The sequence below is a fragment of the Homo sapiens genome, chromosome 8, assembly GCF_000001405.40.
Source record: "Homo sapiens chromosome 8, GRCh38.p14 Primary Assembly".
Taxonomy (NCBI): Eukaryota; Metazoa; Chordata; class Mammalia; order Primates; family Hominidae; genus Homo; species Homo sapiens.
The window spans coordinates 42,935,621-42,959,746 of record NC_000008.11 but is presented as its reverse complement, the minus strand read 5'-3'; the positions used below and the strand labels follow the sequence as shown (position 1 = coordinate 42,959,746).

Here is a 24,126-nt window from a genome sequence, read left to right as displayed (position 1 = left end):
AATTTTTTTTTTTTTTTTTTTTTTTTTTCAGATGTAGTCTTGCTCTGTCACCCAGGCTGGAGTGCAGTGGCACAATCTCGGCTCACTGCAACCTCTGCCTCCCAGGTTCAAGCAATTCTCCTGCCTCAGCCTCCCAAGTAGCTGGGATTACAGGCGCCCGCCATCACACCCGGCTAATTTTTTGTATTTTAGTAGAGATGGGGTTTCACCATGTTGGCCAGGCTGGTCTCGAATTCTTGAGCTCAAGTGACCCGCCACCCTCAGCCTCCCGAAGTGCTGGGATTACAGGTGTGAGCCACTGCGCCCAGCCATTTTTTCCCTAAAAAAGGGTTGCGTTATAGTTAAGATGTACTGTATGACAGTACACAGCACATTTGGTGGTATTTACAGTGGTATGTTTCAAAGAGGTGGTGCACAGAACAAATCTCTTACCTGCATATCCAGTTCATGGCATCTTTGAGCAATTTCTTCCTTTGCTGACAAAGCTTCATTTAGTTCCTCTGTAGTTTTCTTCAGCTGGTTAGAAACAAAGAGATAAACATTTTAATATGAAGTGGTAACAATTAATAATTCGTATGTTCAACACAGAATTAAAACATCTCCCCCCTGTCTTTCCTGAAGAGGGAAGGGTGCAAGAGGAAATCAAGAATCCTGTGGAAGAGTACAAACACAGCACTTTTAACTTTAAATTAATTTCTTTTACTCTAAGTCTTGATTTTTCTGTCCTTTGAATTTGGCTCATTCCCCATATCAAGTTTTCTTATGCGTCTTTTTTGATCTACACTACCTGGTTCTTGGTAAGGATAATTCTTTAATAACTGAGAAATTTTACCTTCATAAAATATGTATGTGCTAGGGGAATAGGGATTTTAATTGTTAAAATATGCAGCTAGAACATTTCAACACAAGTGTTTTCGTTATATTAAAACCTTATGCTGGGGGGTGGGGGAAGGAGAGTCATATTAAAACCTTATGGCAAGGCAAGGGGAGGGATAGCATTAGGACAAATACCTAATGAGTGTTGGCCTTAAAACCTAGATGATGGGTTGATAGGTACAGCAAACCACCATGGCACATGTGTACCTATGTAACAAACCTGCACATTCTGCACAGGTATCTCAGAACTTAAAAAAAAAAAAAAAAAAAAAAACTATCAAAAACTGTTGTGAAAATAGTTAGAATACGACGAAAATTTTGCATCTCCTGAGATTAAGAAAACAAAAATATTACTGAAGCAAAAAACCTTATGTTAATTTTGTACAGCACCGTTAAAAAATTTGTTTACTCTCAACATAAACCAAACATTCCTGAGTTGTATCTCATTACTATATAAACTCTAAATTAGCAAAGTATGAAAAAAAATTGATTAAAAGAAAATTTTATTGTCTCTTCATTTCATGTGACCAAACCTCTGTGTGGTAGATAAAAAAAAATTAAAGCTTGGGTTAAAATTGCAACATGTCCAAAGATTTTCCTGCAAAACATTTAGAAAGAAGGAAGTGAAAGAAGTCAAAGAATACAAAGATTTCTATTCATGTATTGCATGAGATGTACAAAATAGCTTGAACACAGAACCTGACAATGTAATTAACACTTCATTAAGAAGCGATATTTAGGCGGGGCGCGGTGGCTCACGCCTGTAACCCCAGCACTTTGGGAAGCCGAGGCTGGTGGATCACAAGGTCAGGAGATCGAGACCATCCTGGCTAACATGGTGAAACCCCGTCTCTACTAAAAATACAAAAAAAAATTAGCTGGGCATGGTGGCAGGTGCCTGTAGTCCCAGCTACTTGGGAGGCTGAGGCAGGAGAATGGTGAGAACCCGGGAGGTGAAGCTTGCAGTGAGCCGAGATTGCGCCACTGCACTCCAGCCTGGGCGATAGACCAAGACTCCGTGTCAAACAAAAAAAAAAAAAAAAAGGAAGAGATATTTAAAAGTACAAAGTAACTTTTCTGTTAAAATCACAAAAATACATTGCGGGATTCCTTTAAAAATACAGTAGTTCTTAGAGCATTTAATTATTCACTACTTTACAGAAATGAGGGGTGGGATCGAGAAGACATCTTCAACTGACGAAAAGAAATAAAAGGTAAGTATCTTTTGCATTATATACAAACCATAAAAATAAATTCATGTCATTTTCCAGGAATTTGACATGTCATTTTCCAAGAAAATGACAACTGTATATTTCATTTTACAAGAAAATGACATGAACTTATTCTTATGATTCATATAATCATAAGCTGTAACATCTATTGTGTTAAATGTGGCACACTGATATCACTAACAGAAAAATAAAAATTCATGACTAGAAAACAGGAGTCACAATAAACTAAAAAAATTAACCTATTTCAAAGTAGGTTATGCAACAGCATTTTAATTGCAAATGCATTTTATTACAAATTATAAACTTAATTATAAATGTGTAAATTCCACTAGTAAAACAGCTTATGTTCTTAAAATTTTAGGTAAAATATAAAGAATTAAACCAATATAATAAAAAGCAATTTTAACCCATTCTTCTCATTAACATCTGATGCTTATCCTTTTCAACCTTTTCATGAATAAAAACAATGTAAAATTATATACCTGACGATCAAGGTCAACATAGGCATCATTTCCAGCAGAGACAGGAGATTCTTTACTCATCAGCTGAAATCAAGATTTAAATGATTATAACTATGAGGCAAAAAAGACATTCTACATAAAATACTTAACATAAGAAAATGAATACCCAGCCACTATAGAAATATAAAAATTAAAATGAAAACATGCATGTAAAACACTTTGCATTAAAGCTTCTGAGTCCGGAACTTTTTTTGTCCCCACTCCAGAATAATGCCTTCATTTAAAATTAGAGGGCTGGCTGGGCGCGGTGGCTCACGCCTGTAATCCCTGCACTTTGGGAGGCCGAGGTGGGCGGATCATGAGGTCAGGAGTTCAAGACCAGCCTGACCAACATGGAGAAACCCATCTCTACTAAAAATACAAAAATTAGCTGGGCATGGTGGCGCCTGCCTGTAATCGTAGCTACTCAGGAGGCTGAGGCAGTAGAATCACTTGAACCTGGGAGGCGGAGGTTGCAGTGAGCCGAGATGGTGCCATTGCACTCTAGTCTGGGCGACAGGGCGAGATTCCTCTCAAAACAAAAAACAAAAAACAAAATTAAAATAAACAAATAAATAAATAAAATTAAAGGTCTATCAGCACCATAAGACACGGCAAGAGAAAAAAAGTAAATAAAATAATAAATTGAATTAGAGGTCTAAATTCTGATGCTCATTTTCACCGCAAGCCTAGTAATAAGAATCTAGTATTACTTATTCTTATCACAAAAATGACAAATCATTAAAATTAAAATGTGGCTACATACTTAAAAATAGTGGCTTCTCACTAAAAATAGCAATACTATTTATTTCTAAAGAATAAATGTGGACAACATCAGTATTAGCGAAAATTACTGGCTAATGTTTAATGATAACACACACACACACACACACACACACACACACACACACACACGCCCTAATCCTTATGTTGCAAAGAGAGAAGATCCAGAGATCTTCCGGATCTCTGGGGAGAAGGGAACAGAATTCTGGTTATGACAACTGTCAGGGAGAGACTCAAATGGCCCCAGTCTTCTGTTGTTTCCTTCTTATATTCTGTTTTAAAGACAAAAGGGAGAGGGACAATCAGTAATGTGGGGATGTATAACTGGGTGTGGTGGTAAGCATCCTTTAGTTCCAGCTACTCGGGAGGCTGGGGTGGATGGAATGCTTGAGCCCAGGAGTTGGAGAATACTGTGATCACACCTGGGAATAGCCACTGCACTCTAGCCTGGGCGATGTAACAAGACCACATCTCTTAAAAGAAAAAGAGGCAAAAGGATGTACTGTTGAGATCTTGTGATTCCAGCAACAGCTCTCAATAAAAATCTAGGTATCCTACTCTGAGCACAACCATCTCTCATTGTAGGCCTCTCATTAAATTTTATCTGTTCCTCAACATCAGGAAGACTTCTAGGCCCCACCCCTCTGTACTTTCTTCTTGTCTTTCAGTCTTAGCCCATCATTTCACTTTCTTCCTCACTTAGCTCAGACTTGATAGTGAACGCAGTTGATTTTGCCTGCCTGAAGTTTACTCCTGTTTCTTCTGCTAACATTGTCTACCATTGCCCCCTCCCTACTTTCGATTCCTAGGTTCATTTGTTTAATCAATTATTTTCTCTAGATTTCATGTCTTTCTATGACTTTTGTCAATATTCTCTACTCTCCTCTTACCTCATTTTTTCTTACTGGCAAAAATCTCAATCCAAGATTAATCCAGCTACAACTGCCTATATGCTACCTATACCCTGACTGCTAAAGTCATCCCACGGTATAGATGGGGAACTAGTTGTAGGACTCAGGCATATACCAACATGCACACACACTCAAGACCCACAGGCAGCCCTGCAGAACCTCCCTATGTGAAAAGTTGGTCTCTGTACATGTGAGTTTCACATCCTGCAAAGACTGTATATTCCATCTGTGTTTGGTTGTAAAAAAAGAACTGCACAAAAGTAGACCTGTGCAATACAAACCTGCATAAAAGTAGACCTGTGTTGTTTAAGGGTCAACTGTATTGAGAGGGTAAAAGAAATTTAAAAACCACAAAACTGGTGTCACTATTAATAAAGTTCCCAATCTCAACTGGGCCTTCAGTGCTACTCAAAAAGCAGAGCTGTTTTCCCCAGCCAGCAGCCTCATTTTCATCAGAGATTATTCCACACTGTTCCTGCTTCTCGAACCTCACCAACTCACCCACACTCATCATCAGACTATCTTGCCTTCAGATAAGAATTTCCCCTACCCTAATTTACAAACTTAGTGACAGGCATGCCCACCCCTTCCTTTCTTCATTTCTGTTACAACACAAGGGCTCTTCTTCTCACCCAAGGCTAATCCCCAACTGTGCTTTCAACTCCATCTCTTCCAGCATCTCCTATGAGACTTATGCTTTGTGAGGAAAGAGACCATGTCTATCTTTTTCATGGTTGTATCCCTAGTGCTGACTACAGTGCTTGGTACATACTGGGTACTCAATAAGTATTTGCTAAATGAATATGCAAATAATAGACATATTAAAAATCTAATTTGGATTCTCTTTTACATACAACTTTATATCTTGTTCTGGTCATTTGACATTTAAAATTTTTCCTTCTGTCCTAAGATACCCTTTTACACATTTTTATCAACTATGTAATATTCCATCATATGGACATACCACAATTTAAACACTAGCTTACTAATGGATATACATTGTTTTCATATTTCTGTTAATATAAAATAGTTTGATAAACATTGTTGTGTCCAGTCTTGGTCTGAGTTTTTAAATAATTCTTTGGGATAGGTTCATAGAAAGTCACTTGGTCACAGATTTAATTTAAAAAACATTCCTGGTTATAGATATACCACCTGTTATTATAGAAAAATTTAAAAATATAGAAAAGGGTAAAGAAAATTCAGCTATTTGGAGAGTTAACATTAAGCAAGTTTATTTGTTTTCCCTCATCTTAATTTTTATTTTTGACAGAAATGGGATCATAATATTGTTCATGTGCTTTCTATCTACCTTTTTAAACCTAATATGAGCTTTCCCTTATGTCATTAAATATTTTTCAAAGATATGCTTCAATGCCTATGTAATATGCCAGTATACTAGTATACCATAATTTATTTATCCATTGCCCTACTACTGGGTAGTTATTTCTAATGCTTCAGTACTAGGAAATAATACTGAAGCACACTATATTGAAGGGATACGGCACAATGGTTGTAGGTATGGGCTCTGCACTGCTTAGACCTGAGTGCTATCTCGGTCACTACTTCTATGCGAACCTGAGCAAGTTACTCAAACTCTCTGTTTCTTTTTATAAAATGAAGACAATAATATACACCTCACAGGATTGTAGTGAATTTTCCTTTATATTGTGATAAATATACCTAACAAAAATTGCCATTTTAACCACTTTAAGTATAAATTCAGAGGCATTACTTGCAAGTGTACAGAAATTTAAATGGAATTTGCTAACAAATGGAAATTGCTTACTCACAGCCCAATCTAGTATATAGTAGATGCTAGATAAATGCTTGTTATGACTACTATTATGTATCTTTGTATTTTACTTTTTTTTTTTTTCTGAGATGGAGTCTGGCACTATCACCCAGGCTGGAGTGCAGTGGCGCAATCTCAGCTCACTACAACCTCCGGCTCCCAAATTGAAGCCATTCTCCTGCCTCAGCCACCCAAGTAGCTGGGATTACAGGTACGTGCCACCACGCCCGGCTAATATTTGTATTTTGAGTACAGACAGGGTTTCACTGTGTTGGTCAGGCTGGTCTTGAACTCCTGACCTCGTGATCCACCCACCTCAACCTCCCAATGTGCTGGGATTACAGGCATGAGCCACCGCGCCTGGCCGTATTTTACTTTTTTTTTTTTTTTTTTTAGGATAAACTCCTAAAAGTAGAATTACAGGATCAACTACACTAAGGCAGAATGGTTGGCGGTCCTCTTATTCTTTTCCCTGCTCTTGCTTAGTAACAGAAGCCTGGAATTTTGGTTGGGTCCATGACTATCTAGAATAAGGACCCCATTTCCCAGACTCCCCCATGTGGCTAGGTGGGTAATATCTGGCTAACAGGAGTGAGAATTCCTGCAAATCTACTTGCAGGAGGTGGATAACTCTTTCCTCAATCCTTTCTGCCGGCTAGAAATATAAACATGAAAGCCAGCACTGCACCACTAGCTGGGAATCATGTATTAAGAACGGCACAGCAGCAAGATGGAAGAAAGTTGGGTTCCTGATGACTATAGAGCCTCCACACCAACCCAGGACCACTTGAGAGCAAATTAAACTCATATCTTGCTTGGGTAACTGTAGTTTTGGTATTTTAACATGACCAATCTAATCTTATATGATATAAAAGGGGATAACATTTTTAAAAGATATACCAGTTTGCATTCCTGCCATCAGTGCTGACTGCTAAACCAATGAACTCTTTAAAAGCTTTGCTGGGTAATAAAGAATTTCCCTAGAGATAGGAGTTGTCTTTGCTATTCACAGTGGGCCCTTAGATAGTTTAAGCTAAGGAGATGACTCCAGATGGCAGCTGGCCACTCCAGAAAGACCAATCATGTGATTAGAAGGTTGGGGCTTTGTTATCGGCCTGACCTCTGGGAAACAAAGGAGGCTGAAAATTGATTTGGACATCATGGTCACTGATTCAATCAAACATACCCATGTAATGAAACCCCAACAAAGAATCTGGATATAAAGGCTCAGGTAAGCTTCTCTGGTTGGCAATACTCTGCATATTGCTACCATGGGGTGGGGACAAAACAAAACTGCATTTGGGACCTTCCCTGACCTCACCCTATGCATTTTTTGGTTTAACAGAAACTTAACAATCCAGAAACGCATTTAATTTGATTTGTATCCATTTGCTGTAATAAAGCTGTTATCATTCCTGACTTCTGTGAGTTGTTCTAGTAAATTACACAATGTACAAGGATAGTGGGAATCCTTGAATTTGTAGGCAGTTGGTCAGATGACAGGGTGGCCTGGAGACCCCTGAGCCTGGAGCTGGTGTCTGAACTGTGGGCAGTCTGTGGAGAATGATGCCTTTAAATCTGTGAAGTTTGGCCCAACTTTGGGTAGTTGGTGTCAGAAGTCATTGCAAGATTTTTTAAGCACAATTTCATCTTAATTTGCATTTAATTGAATATTTTTCATGTTTTTCTTTTGTATTTTTCTTTTTTTTTTTGAGACGGAGTCTCGCTGTCGCCACGCTGGAGTACAGTGGTGCGATCTCAACTCACTCCAACCTCTGCCTCCTAAGTTCAAGCAATTTTCCTGCCTCAGCCTCCCGAGAAGCTGGGACTACAGGCATGTGCCACCATGCCCAGATAATTTTTGTATTTTTAGTACAGACGAAGTTTCACCATGTTGGCCAGGATGGTCTCAATCTCTTGACCTCGTGATCCGCCTGCCTCGGCCTCCCAAACTGCTGGGATTACAGGTGTGAGGCCACCGCACCCGGCCTGTCTTCTGTATTTTTCTATGTTAGGTGCATATTCATGTCCTGCATACGCTTTTCTATTTCTCTTAAGGGTTTCTTCCACTGCTTTTATGATTAAAAACATTCTCACATCCTGAACTTGACCAGCTATTAGTCTCTGTTTTACTTTTACTTTTACAGTTTTATGTTTTACATTTAAAACGTAAATATTCATCTAGAAATTGCTTTGGGAATGGCTGGAGGTGAAGATCCATTTTCTGCCAAACAGGAAACCACCAGTTAAGTGTGAGGAAGACTGCTGGTTTAAGATAGATATTATTTGGCCGGGCGCCGTGGCTCACGCCTGTAATCCTAGCACTTTGGGAGGCTGGGGAGGGCGGATCACCTGAGGCTCAGGAGTTCGAGACCAGCCTGACCAATATGGTGAAACCCTGTCTCTATTAAAAATACAAAAACTAGCCAGGCGTGGTGGCATGTGCTTGTAGTCCCAGCTACTCAGGAGGCTGAGACAGGAGAATTGCTTGAACCTGGGTGGTGGAGGTTGCAGTGAGCCAAGATCACACCATTGCCTGGACGACAGAGTGAGACTTGGTCAAACAAATAAATAAATAAATAATAGATATTATTTATTATTAGCTTTAGGAATTAGTCTGCTATTACTATTTCATTAAGGGCACTTTAAAAAATTAGGAATAGTCGGCCGGGCGTGATGGCTCACGCCTGTAATCCCAGCACTTTGGGAGGCCAAGGCGGGCAGATCATGAGGTCAGGAGATCGAGACCATTCTGGCTAACAAAGTGAAACCCCATCTTTACTAAAAATACAAAAAATTAGCTGGGCATGGTGGCACACACCTGTAGTCCCAGCTATTCGGGAGAGTGAGGCAGGAGAATCACTTGAACCCAGGAGGTGGAAGTTGCAGTGAGCCCAGATTGTACCACTGCACTCTAGCCTGGGTGACAGAGTGAGACTCCGTCTCAAAAAAAAAAAAATTTAGGAATAGTTATATCTATACCTGCAAAATAAATGTTTAAGATTTAAATAAAATTGGAAAATTTAAATGAGTATGATTTTTTAGAATAAAAACAAGAAAAGCTATATCATAAATGCAAAGTAAAAACTCTTTAAAAATGAGGAGAATCTCTTAAAATTTTCCACTTGTATTATTCATACTCATGTTTACTCCTTTAATTTTTCATAAACTATAAGCATGAAGCTCCAACATACCTCTTGAATGGCTGTCATGACAACATGTTGAACAGATTCCTCCATCATCATAATGGCTTGGATGTACTCTGAAAACAAGAACAATCTAGAATGTCACTGTTCAAGTTAAAGATGGTCAAGGGAATCAAGGCTCATACTTCATAAATTCTTATAAGTCATTTCCCTGTGTTTTGATTCCTCCTAGGAATCCCACATACACCATTAAATGTATTGGTAAAGTCCGAAAATCACACTATTTATCTTTCCTTAAGATCTTTTCTTGCCTTTTCAACATTCCTTCTAAAGTTGAGGCTACAGCTACAGGTCACGAGAATGGAATATTGGCATGAGTATGTGCCAATGTAAAACGATGAAATGGTAAAGCCTGAAACCAAGATGGAAAAATCTCTGTATTACTTTTTTCTAAAATCTAAAAATTATCTTTCACATTACTCTTTGCTATGCAGTTAAACAAAAAAAACTTTGAACTCTGTGCTTTATTTTTATGTGACATCAACGTGCTGCATTATTCTGCCTTAATATTTCCTTTTTTTTTTTTTTTAGACAGAGTCTCACTCTGTCGCCAGGCTGGAGTGCAGTGGCGCCATCTCGGCTCACTGCAACCTCCGCCTCCCAGGTTCACGCCACTCTCCTGCCTCAGCCTCCCGAGTAGCTGGGACTACAGGCGTGCGCCACCACACCCAACTAATTTTTGTATTTTAGTAGAGACCGGTTTTCACCATGTTGGCCAGGATGGTCTCAATCTCTTGACCTCGTGATCCGCCTGCCTCGGCCTCCCAAAGTGCTGGGATTACAGGCGTGAGCCACCGTGCCCAGCCTGGCTTAATATTTTCTTCTACAGCAAACAAAAAAAATGAAACTGAGAGCTGCTTAGGACAAAGAATTGAGATGAATTTAAGTTACAAATTGATACCATAGTTAAACAAATATTGTATAATCCCAGGCTTTAAAATAATTATTGACTGGTCTAAAGGTAGTGAGTTATCACAATTGACTGTTCACAGTTACAGATGGAACTCCTTGTTCTACTACTTCCCCCTTCTCACTAAGTCACTTGACCGGTCAAACACAAAAAATAAAATGATCCACACCTCCAATAAGCTAAAGCAGCAACTCCATCAATCTCATCCTCACCACTGCCAAAAAACAAAAAGATCTCTTTGTTATTAGTAATGACAAACTTGAAAACAATTTCTTGCCTTTGCAATAAGAAACACGTAAAAGAGTAAAGTAATTAGGAAATTTTAGGCTCAACCTACCTCTCCAACCCCATACATCCAAACAACATGCACAATAAAAATCTCACTCCTTGAGGTAGTATATGAAGGGGTCTTACCATGAAACTGTCAAAGTACTCTTTTGACAAGAGATTCATGTATTTGAAATGACAACTGTAATCCTCTACCCAACACAGGATTTAAAATAAATGAGGTATTTTTACAATACTATTAAATTATGACTTCTGGTTAATGCTAAAGCTTTAGTTTATCAGAAACATGTTTTTAAGGAAGTATTGCCCTAAGGCTACTTGTACCCAATCGATTGTTTGGTTATAAGTACAAATATACATAACACAACTAAATCATAGGCATTGTTCTTAGGCCAACAGGAATATCATAACTTAATCACTATTTAGTCAAAAAAGAATTCCTTTAGTCTGAGCTCAATTTTTGGTTTTGTTTTCTTAATGAGAATCACCCTATGAGTGTTGGAATACAGAAAGGGAGCTTTTAGATGTTCTGTTCAAAAGTATCAAACACAGAATTCAAAGGCTATGGAGAAACCAGCATAGGTAGGATGACTAAACAGCTCTAAAAGTAAGACTGTGAACATGGAAGAGAAGAAGCAGTGGCACTGATAATGGGGAAGGAGAATTTAATGACAGCCTATTGAAAGTGAAGGAAATAACAGTGGACTCGAGGGGTGAGGGGTTAGTAGGTGTGAGAGGGGAAGCGTTAGTTAAGAAGCGGTGTTGCCACGTCAAGGCCCTTCCCCGCGAACACCGTAAAATGCTAAATGATAAAATGATGATGAGAACTAAATTACTGTACAGTTTTTTAAATAAAAAAATTTATGAATCTTTAAAAGTCCAAAATACAAATGATATGCTATTACCGGGTGTGTGTCTATGAGGCAATGCTGGAGAATGAGATTTGCTATGTGAGGTAGCTTATCCTGAAGCCTTCACTGTTTAAAATTCACAGCATAGTTTATCACAGGGAGTATTAAGTTTAAATGTGGAAGAAACATGAGTTTTTGTCCTTGTCTAGCCTCTCACAGGTAGGAAGTATTGGGCAAGTCACATAACACTTACAAGTCCCAGCTTCCTAGTCTGTAAAAACCATTTTTTGGTACCAGAGAGAAGGGAAATAATAAATAATTATTATTAGTGTGTCTTCTACTACTAATCTTTGTTTTTTCAAACTTACCACCATTTTATTTGCCCCAATTTGAGAAGTAAGATAGCCAAGACAAATGTGCACTGAGTCAACATCCCTAGCAGATGCTCCTCACTTCTTCTAATTAGGAAACACATTTAAACATAAGCCTCTTTTAATCTGTACACTGCTTTATGGAGTACAAAGCACACACATACACACACACACACACAATTTCATTCACTCCTCATGACAACCAGCTTTTACATCCTTATTTTGCAGACAACAACACAGGCTAAGTATCTCATCCCAAGCGAGTCAGGTAGTAAACAGCAGAACTGCTTTAGTGAGTTTTACATTATATACCATAAATATGCAGTGACAGCTAATATTTAACCACTCAGACACTCATGTACTTGATTCTTAGCACTCTACTATGTTCCTGAGAGCAGAGGATGTCCTAAATCTAGACAAATGAGATGTTAAAATTTTGTTCAATAAGTTTCCATCATTTATACAATTTTGGGGGGAAACTCAATCTAGGTGTTTCTACAGAACATTTGGTCTGAGTGAGAACTTCAATAAATATTATAATTGACTATCTTCTTTCCCACAGGAATATGCATATAGGTAACATCTTTGTCTTTTCCTAGTCCTATTCTGTAGTAAATACAATTAGCTGACTCTCAACAGTTGTGCACTTCCAAAGACCCCCTACATATTAAGGAGAATTCCAGAAGTCAATGAATTTCCTAAAAGGATACATAAGAAGTTATTATCTGATATCAATCAACTTCAATTAAATAATTTCTATTTTCCACCTTAAAATCGAAGCATCTACTTAGAGATTTAATGTCTCAAATCTTAGGTATACCAATCTCCTAATCTTTGACAGAACACTTGTTAGACACTCCAGGAATATACATAGATCACAACTGCAGAAAATTCCATATTTAATTCTTGAGCTAAACTGAATAAGCAAACTAAAATTTACCTATAAGAAAATGGTGGCCAGGCGCAGTGGCTCATGCCTGTAATCCCAGAGCTTTGGGAGGCCGAGGCAGGCGGATCATGAGGTCAGGAGCTCGAGACCAGCCTGACCAACATGGTAAAAACCCGTCTCTACTAAAAATACAAAAATTAGCCGGGCGTGGTGGCACGTGCACCTGTAATCCCAGCTACTCAGGAGGCTGAGGCAGGAGAATTGCTTGAACCTGGGAGGCAGAGGTTGCAATGAGCCGAGATCACACCACTGGACTCCAGCCTGGGTGACAGAGTGAGAATCTGTCCCAGAAAAAAAAAAAAAAAAAAAAAGAAAGAAAGAGAAAATGGTATGATAAAATAGGAATGGGGCTAGAGAAAAGAAATATATTGTTTTAAAAAATACTGAATTGGAGACCAATAAAATTAGTCATAACTTCAAGAAAATAATGCTATTATTAAACTTACCATGGAACACCAAAAAAGTACAAACAACAAGTTAATAGAAATCTGTTTTGCACTATAAGGGGTAAACAGTGGGGAAACAAGAAAAAAACCTTTGGGCTTAAAAAAAAAAATTCATCGTCTTCAACATAAGTAATAGTAACATACTGTGCTGTCATCATTTATAATAGCCCCTATCTCCTGCCGTATTTTCCTTCATCCTTTTCTCACTATACTCCAATTATAGTGTGGTGGGTTTTTTAATTCCTCAGAGATAACCTAGGTCTTTCCTACATTCAGCTTCTACTATTTACATTACTCTTAACCCATTGTCTTCCATAGCTTTGCTTAAATAACTTCCCTGACCCCAAACCCAGGCTGTCCCCCTTTAAGCTGCAGCTGAGGAACACTCACCTCTGCGTTCATCATACGGGTATCTGTGGCATTATTTAATGTCCTTCCACTCAAGTTCCTTGAGGGCAGGTACTTGTCTGTTCTAACACTGTGTTCCTAGCCCCTAGTAATGTATAAGTTCAATATTTATGAAATAAATTGAATATAGAAGAGAAAATGAATTTAAGGTAAAATTTATCTGCTTTATTGCATGATAAATTTGAACTACAGCTTTTAGAAAACAAGTGATTTCTATGCAAATCAGTAGTTGTCAATAGAGAAAAAAGCTATTTAAGATTAGATAAGCACTTTGGAAGAACTATAAAAAAGATATTAATTATATTATTATCTATATATCAAAGCTGGTCTTCAAGTAACTTCAACAAAGTTCAAATCTGTCAACTTGGACTTGCTGTATACACAAAAATACACTTAACTAACAAAAGCTGTAAATTAAAAGTTAACTTACTGAGAATAGCCTTCTCTAATTCTATGTTAGTGGTTTTACTAATTTACATTCCATTTATTGATAAAATAAATATAATCATTGAACACCACCTAATGACATTTAAAAAACTGCGGCTACCTTAAAGTTCACAAAAGCACACAATAAAATAACTGAATGAAAATGTTTTAAAATACTATATATAGGCTGGGGTGGTGGCTCATGCCTGTAATCCTAGCACTTTGGGAAGCCAAGGCGGGTGGATCACTTGAGGTCAGGAGTTTGAGACCAGCCTGACCAACATGATGAAACCCTGCCTCTACTAAAAACACAAAGCATTAGCCAGGCATGGTGGTGCACATCTGTAATCCCAGCTACTCAAGAGGCTGAGGCAGGAGAATCGCTTGAACCCAGGAGGTGGAGGTTGCAGTGAGCTGAGATCATGCCACTGCACTCCAGCCTGGGCAACAGAGCAAGACTCCATCTCGAAAAAATAAAATAAAATAGAATAAAATAAAATAAAATACTATATGTAAAACTTATGTTTTCATGTTTCCTAGTAATAACTAATGTTTTGTGAACCACTACTATGTGCAAGACACTGTACTGTTCTATATACATGATCTCATTTAGTTTCCACAATAACCTTAGGAGGTAGGTACTATAATGAATCTCTATTTTACTAAAAAACTAAAATACAGAGGTTAAGTGATCTACTCCAAGTCCTTGAGATTGCCTGCGAGAGGTGGAAACGAGTTGAAATTCATGGGTTGATGCACACTGCAGCTCATGCTCTTAATCTCATATTTCAACGTAATAATAATGATATAATATATTGGGTCATTTCAGCTCTGGGAGCTTAAAATGGGGTATTTTAGATTGCAATACAAAGGACATGGGAAAAAATAAAAGACAGTTTTCAGATTTACATGCTTAGCGAGAAATTTTTCTAGCAGTGATAGATACCATTAAGTTATTTTATTATTTTTTTTTTCTGAGAAAAAGTCTTGATCTATTGCCCAGGCTAAAGTGCAGTGGCACAATCTTGGCTCAATGCAACCTCCGCCTCCCAGGTTCAAGTGATTCTCCTGCCTCAGCCTCGCAAGCAGCTGGGATTACAGGCGCCCACCACCGCGCCCGGCTAATTTTTGTATTTTTAGTAGAGATGGGGTTTCACCATCTTGGCCAGGCTGGTCTCAAACTCCTGACTTTGTGATCCACCTGCCTCACCCTCCCAAAGTGCTGGGATTACAGGCGTGAGCCACTGCGCCCGGCCCCATTAATTTTACAAGCCTGTTTATCGATGTGAAAATTAATCCCAAGGTTTTCCAGGTTTTTCAATGTTTTCTTGCCAGAGTATGTTACTACAAAATATCCTGTGGCATTTTTCTCTTTTTTTGAGACAGGGTCTTGCTCTGTCGCCCAGGCTGGAGTGCAGTGATGCGATCTTGGCTCATTGCAACCTCTGCCTCCCAGGTTCAAGTGATTCTCATGCCTCAGACACCTGAGTAGCTGGGATTACAGGAGTGTGCCTCCACACTCAGCTAATTTTTTTTTTTTCTGGTAGAGATGGGGTTTCACCATATTGGTCAAGCTGGTCTCCAACTCCTGGCCTCAAGTGATCCGCCCACCGTGGCCTCCCAAAGTGCTGGGATCACAGGCATGAGCCACCGTACCCAGCCTCCTGTGGTATTTCTAAGAGTTTTACAATTATTTAAAAATAAATGAAACAATTTTGATATATGTAATACTATTCCTTCCTTTAAAAGATAGTCAAGGCACTATCTAAAATTTAAGTCAGGGAGTGATTTCTTAAGGAAAAGTATCTGCCAGATTTTGGGGTAGGAAACCCAATTCAAAATTTATTTTTATTATTTAAACATTGCATATAATGATACTCTTCCCTCTCTTTTTCCCCACAGTAGAGGCAAACTTGCAAATGTTTTCCAAATACAATATGCCTAAAAAAAGAAAAAGGAGAAGCTGAAGGCATCTGTTACAGATATATGTTGGGAAGGCAGACCTGAATATCTATTAAACTGCTGTATGTCTCTGCTCATTTTTTCCAGATTAGGTAGATGTTGTCAAATTAACAGCAAATTTCACTGCATTCAGTGTAGTTATCTACTCAAGGAATTATGTGGTATTGCACAAAAGAAAAAATATCACCCCAGTCAAATTTATTTTAATGTGCAAAATTCATTTAAGCTTAAAAACAAATTACTAGTAAAACTGTAGAAAATGGCATTCTTTGGGGGTGACCTTAAACAGATGTTACTGTTGGTACTGGTGATTTATATATAAAATATAAAATATACACTACTTTCCTTCATTATTTTAAATGCAAACACTAACTTGAAACAAATTACCTTGCTTCTGTTCACAGTTCACAGCACAGCCTAAGATGAGCTGAAGCATCCTTCCAAGCTCTGCTGCATCAGAATGCTCCCCAATAAGGTTCACATCAGGAAGGGTAAAGTCATTAATTTGCTGTCCTAAAATCTGAATGGAGATAAAAGGATTATAATTGCATTTACATTTATATGACCAAAAAAAAAAAAAACTTGATCGAGGTTTGTTATTACCAGAAACTCATTGCCAAGGACAGAGTGATTATGTTCCATTTCACTCCCAATTTCTATTTCTACCTCCCATACCTAAATCATAACTATCTTGAGTCACAGCAACTTAGTCCCTACTCTGGTATGTGGCATGTACATCGAGCAAAAAAAACAAAACAAACAAAAAAACCCTGAGTACTCCCAGAAGAAATAGGTGTATACTCTTTGAAGAAGTAGAACTAAAATGGTTATGAACTAGGGGGCACCAGAAAGAGCTAAGATTAAATATAAATTCATGTCCCCAACAGTAAGATTCTCACTAGCCACCTTGATTCCCACTTGATTCCCAAAACACCGGCAGCAAAATACCTACGTCAGGAAGGAGCATGAAATTTCTTTATACGGAAACTGACTGTTCCCACATGAAATGATTCATATGCAGACAAATGGGCAGGTCTCTGCCTGACAATCCTACAGTGAAATGTACCACTCAAAAAGCACCCCCAACTCAGATTCCAATCAGCTTTTGATAGTGGTTTACTTTTAAATGTCAACAACCAACCAAGGACCATTAAAACATTTGAGAAGTCTCCAACATTAAAAATAGGCAAAAACAATGAAAGCAAACTCAGAAAAAAGCAAATAATGAAGCAAATGAAAGAAAATAAAATTTTAAACATCCTATAACTAGATGACATACAGGTGGTAAAACTATCAACACAAACAAGAAAACAATTATTTAAAAACCTGGGAATCATGGTTTTCCCTGGACAGGAGGTGAGGAAAGAGGTTGTGATCAAGAAGGTAAACACAAGCCCTGGTAGGTGCTGGTGACATTCAACCAACCTATGTTACATGGCTGTTCACTTCACAATTACCTTTAAAATGTACATATACATATGGTATGCTTTTCTGAATGCACATTTATTCTACAATGAAAAAGTAATAGGGGTTTTGGAGGAGCGGGACTGGTATTTTACTTTTTCTTTCTTTATTTTTTTGAGATGGAGTTTCACTCTTGTTGCCCAGGCTGGAGTGCAATGGCATGATCTCGGCTCACTGCAACCTCCCAAGTTCAAGCTATTCTCCTGCCTCAGCCTCCCAAGTAGCTGGGATTACAGGCGTGTGCCACCACACCCAGCTAATTTTGTATTTTTAGTAGAGACGGGATTTCACCATGTTGGTCAGGCTGGTCTCAAACTCCTGACCTCAAGTAATCCACCTGCCTGGGCTCTGAAAGTGCTGAGATTACAGGCGTGAGTCACCGTACCTGGCCAAGATTGGTATTTTAGATGGATGGTCAAAGAAGCCCTCTATGCTAAGTCAAAAACTGAGCAGAATCCTGGAATGAAGAGGCAGACCATATAGTTATAGGTGGGGGGATACGACACAGAGGTTACCATGGGCAAAGTCGTCAGGTAGGAGTGCACTTGATAAACTCCAAAAACAGTAGGGTCCTTCCCCACACTTGGCTGGGGAAGGAGTGGAAGACAAGGTCCAGGGGTCAGGATGGGGGAGGCATGTCACTTAGGTCCTCATAAGTTATGTCAAGGATGTGAGTTTTATTCTAAATAATAAGGAAAACAAATTGAATTAAATGAATAGAAATATACCACCAACCAGATTAAATTAAATTTTTCTCCTTGAATAGGAAAATCAATTCCTAGAAGGACATAAAAGAAAATACTGGCCAGACACAGTGGCTCATGCCTCTTTTTTTTTTTTTTTTTTTTTTTGAGACGGAGTCTCGCTCTATCGCCCAGGCTGGAGTGCAGTGGCGCGACCTTGGCTCACTGCAACCTCTGCCTCCCGGGTTCACACCATTCTCGTGCCTCAGCCTCCCGAGTAGCTGGGACTACAAGCGCCCACCACCACACCCACCTAATTTTTTTTTGTATTTTTAGTAGAGATGGGGTTTCACCGTGTTAGCCAGGATGGTCTAGATCTCCTGACCTCGTGATCCGCCCGCCTCGGCCTCCCAAAGTGCTGGGATTACAGGTGTGAGCCACTGCGCCCAGCCGGCTCATGCCTTTAATCCCAGCACTTCGGGAGGCCAAGGCGGGCGGATCACCTGAGGTCAGGAGTTTGAAACCAGCCTGGCCAACATAGTAAAATCCCGTCTCTACTAAAAATACAAAAATTAGCTGGGTGTGGTGGCAGGAGACTGTGGTCCTAGCTACTTGGGAGGCCAAGAGAGGAGAATTACTTGAACCTGGGAGGTGGAGGTTGCCAGTGAGCCGAGGTCGTGCCACTGCACTCACTCCGGCCTGGATGCCAGAGTGAGACTCCATCTCAAAAATAAGTAAGTAAATAAATAAATAAATAAATAAAATAAACAAAATGAAAAGACCAAACTTATGTTTGATTGGTGTACCTGAAACCGACAGGGAGAATGGAACCAAGTTGGAAAACACTCTTCAGGATATTATCTAGGAAAACTTCCCCAACCTAGCAAGACAGGCCAACGTTCAAATTCAGGAAATATAGAAAACACCACAAAGATATTCCTCAAGAAGAGCAACCCCAAGACACATAATCGTCAGATTCACCAAGGTTGAAATGAAGAAAAAAATGTTAAGGGCATCCAGAGAGAAAAGTCGGGTTGCCCACAAAGGGAAGCCCATCAGACTAACAGCAGATCTCTCTGCAGAAACCCCACAAGCCAGAAGAGAGTGGGAGCTAATATTCAACATTACTAAAGAAAAGCATTTTCGCTCTCCCTCTCCCTCTCCCTGTCCCTGTCCCTGTCCCTGTCCCCACGGTCTCCCTCTCCCTCTCTTTCCACGGTCTCCCTCTGATGCCGAGCCGAGGCTGGACTGTACTGCTGCCATCTCGGCTCACTGCAACCTCCCTGCCTGATTCTCCTGCCTTGGCCTGCCGAGTGCCTGCGATTGCGGGCGCGCGCCGCCACGCCTGACTGGTTTTCGTGTTTTTTTGGTGGAGACGGGGTTTCGCTGTGTTGGCCGGGCTGGTCTCCAGCTCCTAGCCGCGAGTGATCCGCCAGCCTCGGCCTCCCGAGGTGCCGGGATTGCAGACGGAGTCTCGTTCACTCAGTGCCAATGGTGCCTGGGCTGGAGTGCAGTGGCGTGATCTCAGCTCGCTGCAGCCTCCACCTCCCGGCGGCCTGCCTTGGCCTCCCAAAGTGCCGAGATTGCAGCCTCTGCCCGGCCGCCGCCCCGTCTGGGAAGTGAGGAGCGTCTCTGCCTGGCCGCCCACCGTCTGGGATGTGAGGAGCCCCTCTGCCTGGCTGCCCAGTCTGGAAAGTGAGGAGTGTCTCTGCCCGGCCGCCATCCCATCTAGGAAGTGAGGAGCGCCTCTTCCCGGCCGCCATCCCATCTAGGAAGTGAGGAGTGTCTCTGCCCGGCCGCCCATCGTCTGAGATGTGGGGAGCGCCTCTGCCCTGCCGCCCCGTCCGGGATGTGAGGAGCGTCTCTGCCCGGCCGCCCCGTCTGAGAAGTGAGGAGACCCTCTGCCCGGCAGCTGCCCCATCTGAGAAGTGAGGAGCCCCTCCGCCCGGCAGCCGCCCCGTCTGAGAAGTGAGGAGCCCCTCCGCCCAGCAGCCACCCAGTCTGGGGAGTGAGGAGCGTCTCTGCCCGGCAGCCACCCCGTCCGGGAGGGAGGTGGGGGGGTCAGCCCCCCGCCCGGCCAGCCAGCCCGTCCGGGAGGGAGGTGGGGGGGTCAGCCCCCCGCTCGGCCAGCCGCCCTGTCCGGGAGGGAGGTGGGGGGATCAGCCCCCCGCCCGGCCAGCCGCCCCGTCCGGGAGGTGAGGGGCGCCTCTGCCCGGCCGCCCCTACTGGGAAGTGAGGAGCCCCTCTGCCCGGCCAGCTGCCCCATCCGGGAGGGAGGTAGGGGGGTCAGCCCCCCGCCCGGCCAGCCGCCCCGTCCAGGAGGGAGGTGGGAAGGTCAGCCCCCCGCCCGACCAGCCGCCCCGTCCGGGAGGTGAGGGGCGCCTCTGCCCGGCCGCCCCTACTGGGAAGTGAGGAGCCCCTCTTCCCGGCCACCACCCCGTCTGGGAGGTGTACCCAATAGCTCATTGAGAACGGGCCATGATGACAATGGCGGTTTTGTGGAATAGAAAGGGGGGAAAGGTGGGGAAAAGAGTGAGAAATCAGATGGTTGCCGTTGTCTGTGTAGAAAGAGGTAGACATGGGAGACTTTTCATTTTGTTCTGTACTAAGAAAAATTCTTCTGCCTTGGGATCCTGTTGATCTGTGACCTTACCCCCAACCCTGTGCTCTCTGAAACATGTGCTGTATCCACTCAGGGTTAAATGGATTAAGGGCGGTGCAAGATGTGCTTTGTTAAACAGATGCTTGAAGGCAGCATGCTCGTTAAGAGTCATCACCACTCGCTAATCTCAAGTACCCAGGGACACAAACACTGCGGAATGCAGCAGGGTCCTCTGCCTAGGAAAACCAGAGACCTTTGTTCACTTGTTTATCTGCTGATCTTCCCTCCACTATTGTCCTGTGACCCTGCCAAATCCCCCTCTGCGAGAAACACCCAAGAATGATCAATAAAAATAAATAAATAAATAAATAAATAAATAAATAAAAGAAAAGCATTTTCAACCCAGAATTTCATACCCAGCCAAACTAAGCTTCACAAGTGAAGGAGAAATAAAACCCTTTACAGACAAGCAAATGCTGAGAGATTTTGTCACCACCAGGCCTGCCTTTCAAGAGCTCCTGAAGGAAGCACTAAATATGGCAAGGAAAAACTGGTACCAGCCACTGCAAAAACATACGAAATTGTAAAGACCATCAACACCATGAAGAAACTGCATCAACTAATAGGCAAAATAACCACTAGCATCATAATGACAGGATCAAATTCACACATAGTATTAACCTTAAATGTAAATGGGCTAAATGCCCCAATTTAAAGGCACAGACTAGCAAATTGGATGAAGAGTCAAGACCCATCAGTGTGCTGTATTCAGGAAACTCATCTCACATGCAAAGACACATATAGGCTCAAAATAAAGGGATGCAGGAAGATTTACCAAGCAAATGGAAAGCAAAAAAAAAAAAAAAGCAGGGGTTGCAATGCTAGTCTCTGATAAAACAGACTATAAACCAACAAAGATCAAAAGAGACAAAGAAGGCCATTACATAACGGTAAAGGGATCAATTCAACAAGAAGAGCTAGCTATCCTAAATATATATGCACCCAATACAGGAGCACCCAGATTCATAAAGCAAGTTCTTAGAGACCTATAAAGAGACTTAGACTCCCACACAACAATAGTGGGAGACTTTAACACCCCACTGTCAATATTAGACAGATTAATGAGACAGAAAATTAACAAGGATATTCAGGACTTGAACTCAGCTCTGGACCAAGCAGACCTAATAGACATCTACAGAACTCTCCACCCCAAATCAACAGAATATACATTCTTCTCAGCACCACATTGCACTTATTCTAAAATTGACCACATAATTGGAAGTAAAACACTCCTCAGTAAATGCAAAAGAACAGAAATCATAACAAACAGTTTCTCAGACCACAGTGCAATCAGATTAGAACTGAGGATTAAAAACTCATTCAAAACCGCACAACTACATGGAAACTGAACAACCTGCTCCTGAATGACTACTGGGTACATAATGAAATGAAGGCAGAAATAAGTAAGTTCTCTGAAATCAATGAGAACAAAGACACAATGTACCAGAATCTCTGGGACACAGCTAAAGCAGTGTTTAGAGGGAAATTTATAGCACTAAATGCCCATAGGAGAAAGCAGGAAAGATCTGAAATCGACACCCTAACATCACAATTTAAAGAACTAGAGAAGCAAGAGCAAACAATTTCAAAAGCTAGCAGAAGACAAGAAATAACTAAGATCAGAGCAGAACTGAAGGACATGAAAAACCCTTCCAAAAAAAAAAAAAAAAATCAATGAATCCAGGAGCTGGTTTTTTTTTAAAAGATTAACAAAATAGACCACTGGCCAGACTAATAAAGAAGAAAAGAGAGAAGAATCAAATAGACACAATAAAAAATGATAAATAGGATATCACCACTGATCCCACAGAAATACAAACTACCATCAGAGAATACTGTAAACACCTCTATGCAAATAAACTAGAAAATCTAGAAGAAATGGATAAATTCCTAGACACATACATCCTCTAAACACTAAACCAGGAAAGAAGTCAAATCCCTGAATACACCAATAACAAGTTCTGAAATTAAGGCAGTAATACCTTACCAACCAAAAAAAGCCCAGGACCAGATGGATTCACAGCTGAATTCTACCAGAGGTACAAAGAGGAGCTGGTACCATTCCTTCTGAAACTATTCCAAACAACAGAAAAAGAGGTACTCCTCCCTAACTCATTTGATGAGGCCAGCATCATCCTGACACCAAAACCTGACAGAGACACAAGAAAAAAAGAAAATTTCAGGCCAATATCTCTGATGAACATCGATGAAAAAATCCTCAATAAAATACTGACAAACTGAATCCAGCAGCACATCAAAAAGCTTATCCACCACCATCAAGTTGGCTTCATCCCTGGGATGTAAGGCTGGTTCAACATACTCAAATCAGTAAACATAATACATCACATAAACAGAACCAATGACAAAAACCGTACAATTATCTCAATAGATGCAGAAAAGGCCTTCGATAAAATTCAACACCCCTTCATGCTAAAAACTCTCAATAAACTAGGTATTGATGGAATGTATCTCAAAATAGTAACAGCTACTTATGACAAACCCACAGCCAATATCATACTGAATGGGCAAAAGCTGGAAGCATTCCCTTTGAAAACTGGCACAAGACAAGGATGTCCTCTCTCACCACTCCTATTCAACATAGTATTGGAAGTTCTGGCCAGGGCAATCAGGCAAGAAAAAGAAATAAAGGATATTCAAATAGAAAGAGAGGAAGCCAAATTGTCTCTGTTTGCAGATGACATGATTGTATATTTAGAAAACCCCATCATCTCAGCCCAAAATCTCCTTAAGCTGATAAGCAACTTCAGCAAAGTCTCAGGATACAAAATCAATGTGCAAAAATCACAAGCATTCCTATACACCAATAACAGACAAATAACCAAATCATAAGTCAACTCCCATTTGCAACTGCTACTAAGAGAATAAAATACCTAGGAATACACAACTCACAAGGGATGTGAAGGACCTCTTCAAGGAGAACTACAAACCACTGCTCAAGGAAATAAGAGAGGACACAAACAAATGAACAAATATTCCATGCTCATGGATAGGAAGAATCAATGTCGTGAAAATGGCCATCCTGCCCAAAGCAATTTATAGATTCAATGGTATCCCCATACAGCTACCACTGACTTTCTTCAAAGAATTAGAAAAAACTACTTTAAATTTCATATGGAACCAAAAAAGAGCCAGTATAGCCAAGACCATCTTAAGCAAAAAGAACAAAGTTGGAGGCATCACAATACCTGACTTCAAACTATACTACAAGGCTACAGTAACCAAAACAGCATGGTACTGGTACCAAAGCAGATATACAGACCAATGGAACAGAACAGAGGCCTCAGAAATAATGCCACACATCTACAACCATCTGATCTTTGACAAACCTGACAAAAACAAGCAATGGGAAAAGGATTCCCTATTTAATAAATGGTGCTGGGAA

At 40.6% G+C, this 24,126-nt stretch overlaps 1 protein-coding gene across 1 annotated transcript in view; it reads right to left on the bottom strand.

Moving 5' to 3' along the window:
* The window catches only part of HOOK3 (hook microtubule tethering protein 3), a 133,558-nt gene that overhangs the window by 70,789 nt on the left and 38,643 nt on the right, over nucleotides 1–24,126 (bottom strand). Inside the window, exons 5-8 of the mRNA NM_032410.4 lie at nucleotides 16,302–16,434; nucleotides 9,292–9,359; nucleotides 2,591–2,653; nucleotides 433–516 (exon numbers count right to left, since the gene is read on the bottom strand). Coding sequence (NP_115786.1) covers nucleotides 433–516; nucleotides 2,591–2,653; nucleotides 9,292–9,359; nucleotides 16,302–16,434 — 348 coding nt within the window. The remainder of the gene's footprint in view (nucleotides 1–432; nucleotides 517–2,590; nucleotides 2,654–9,291; nucleotides 9,360–16,301; nucleotides 16,435–24,126) is intronic.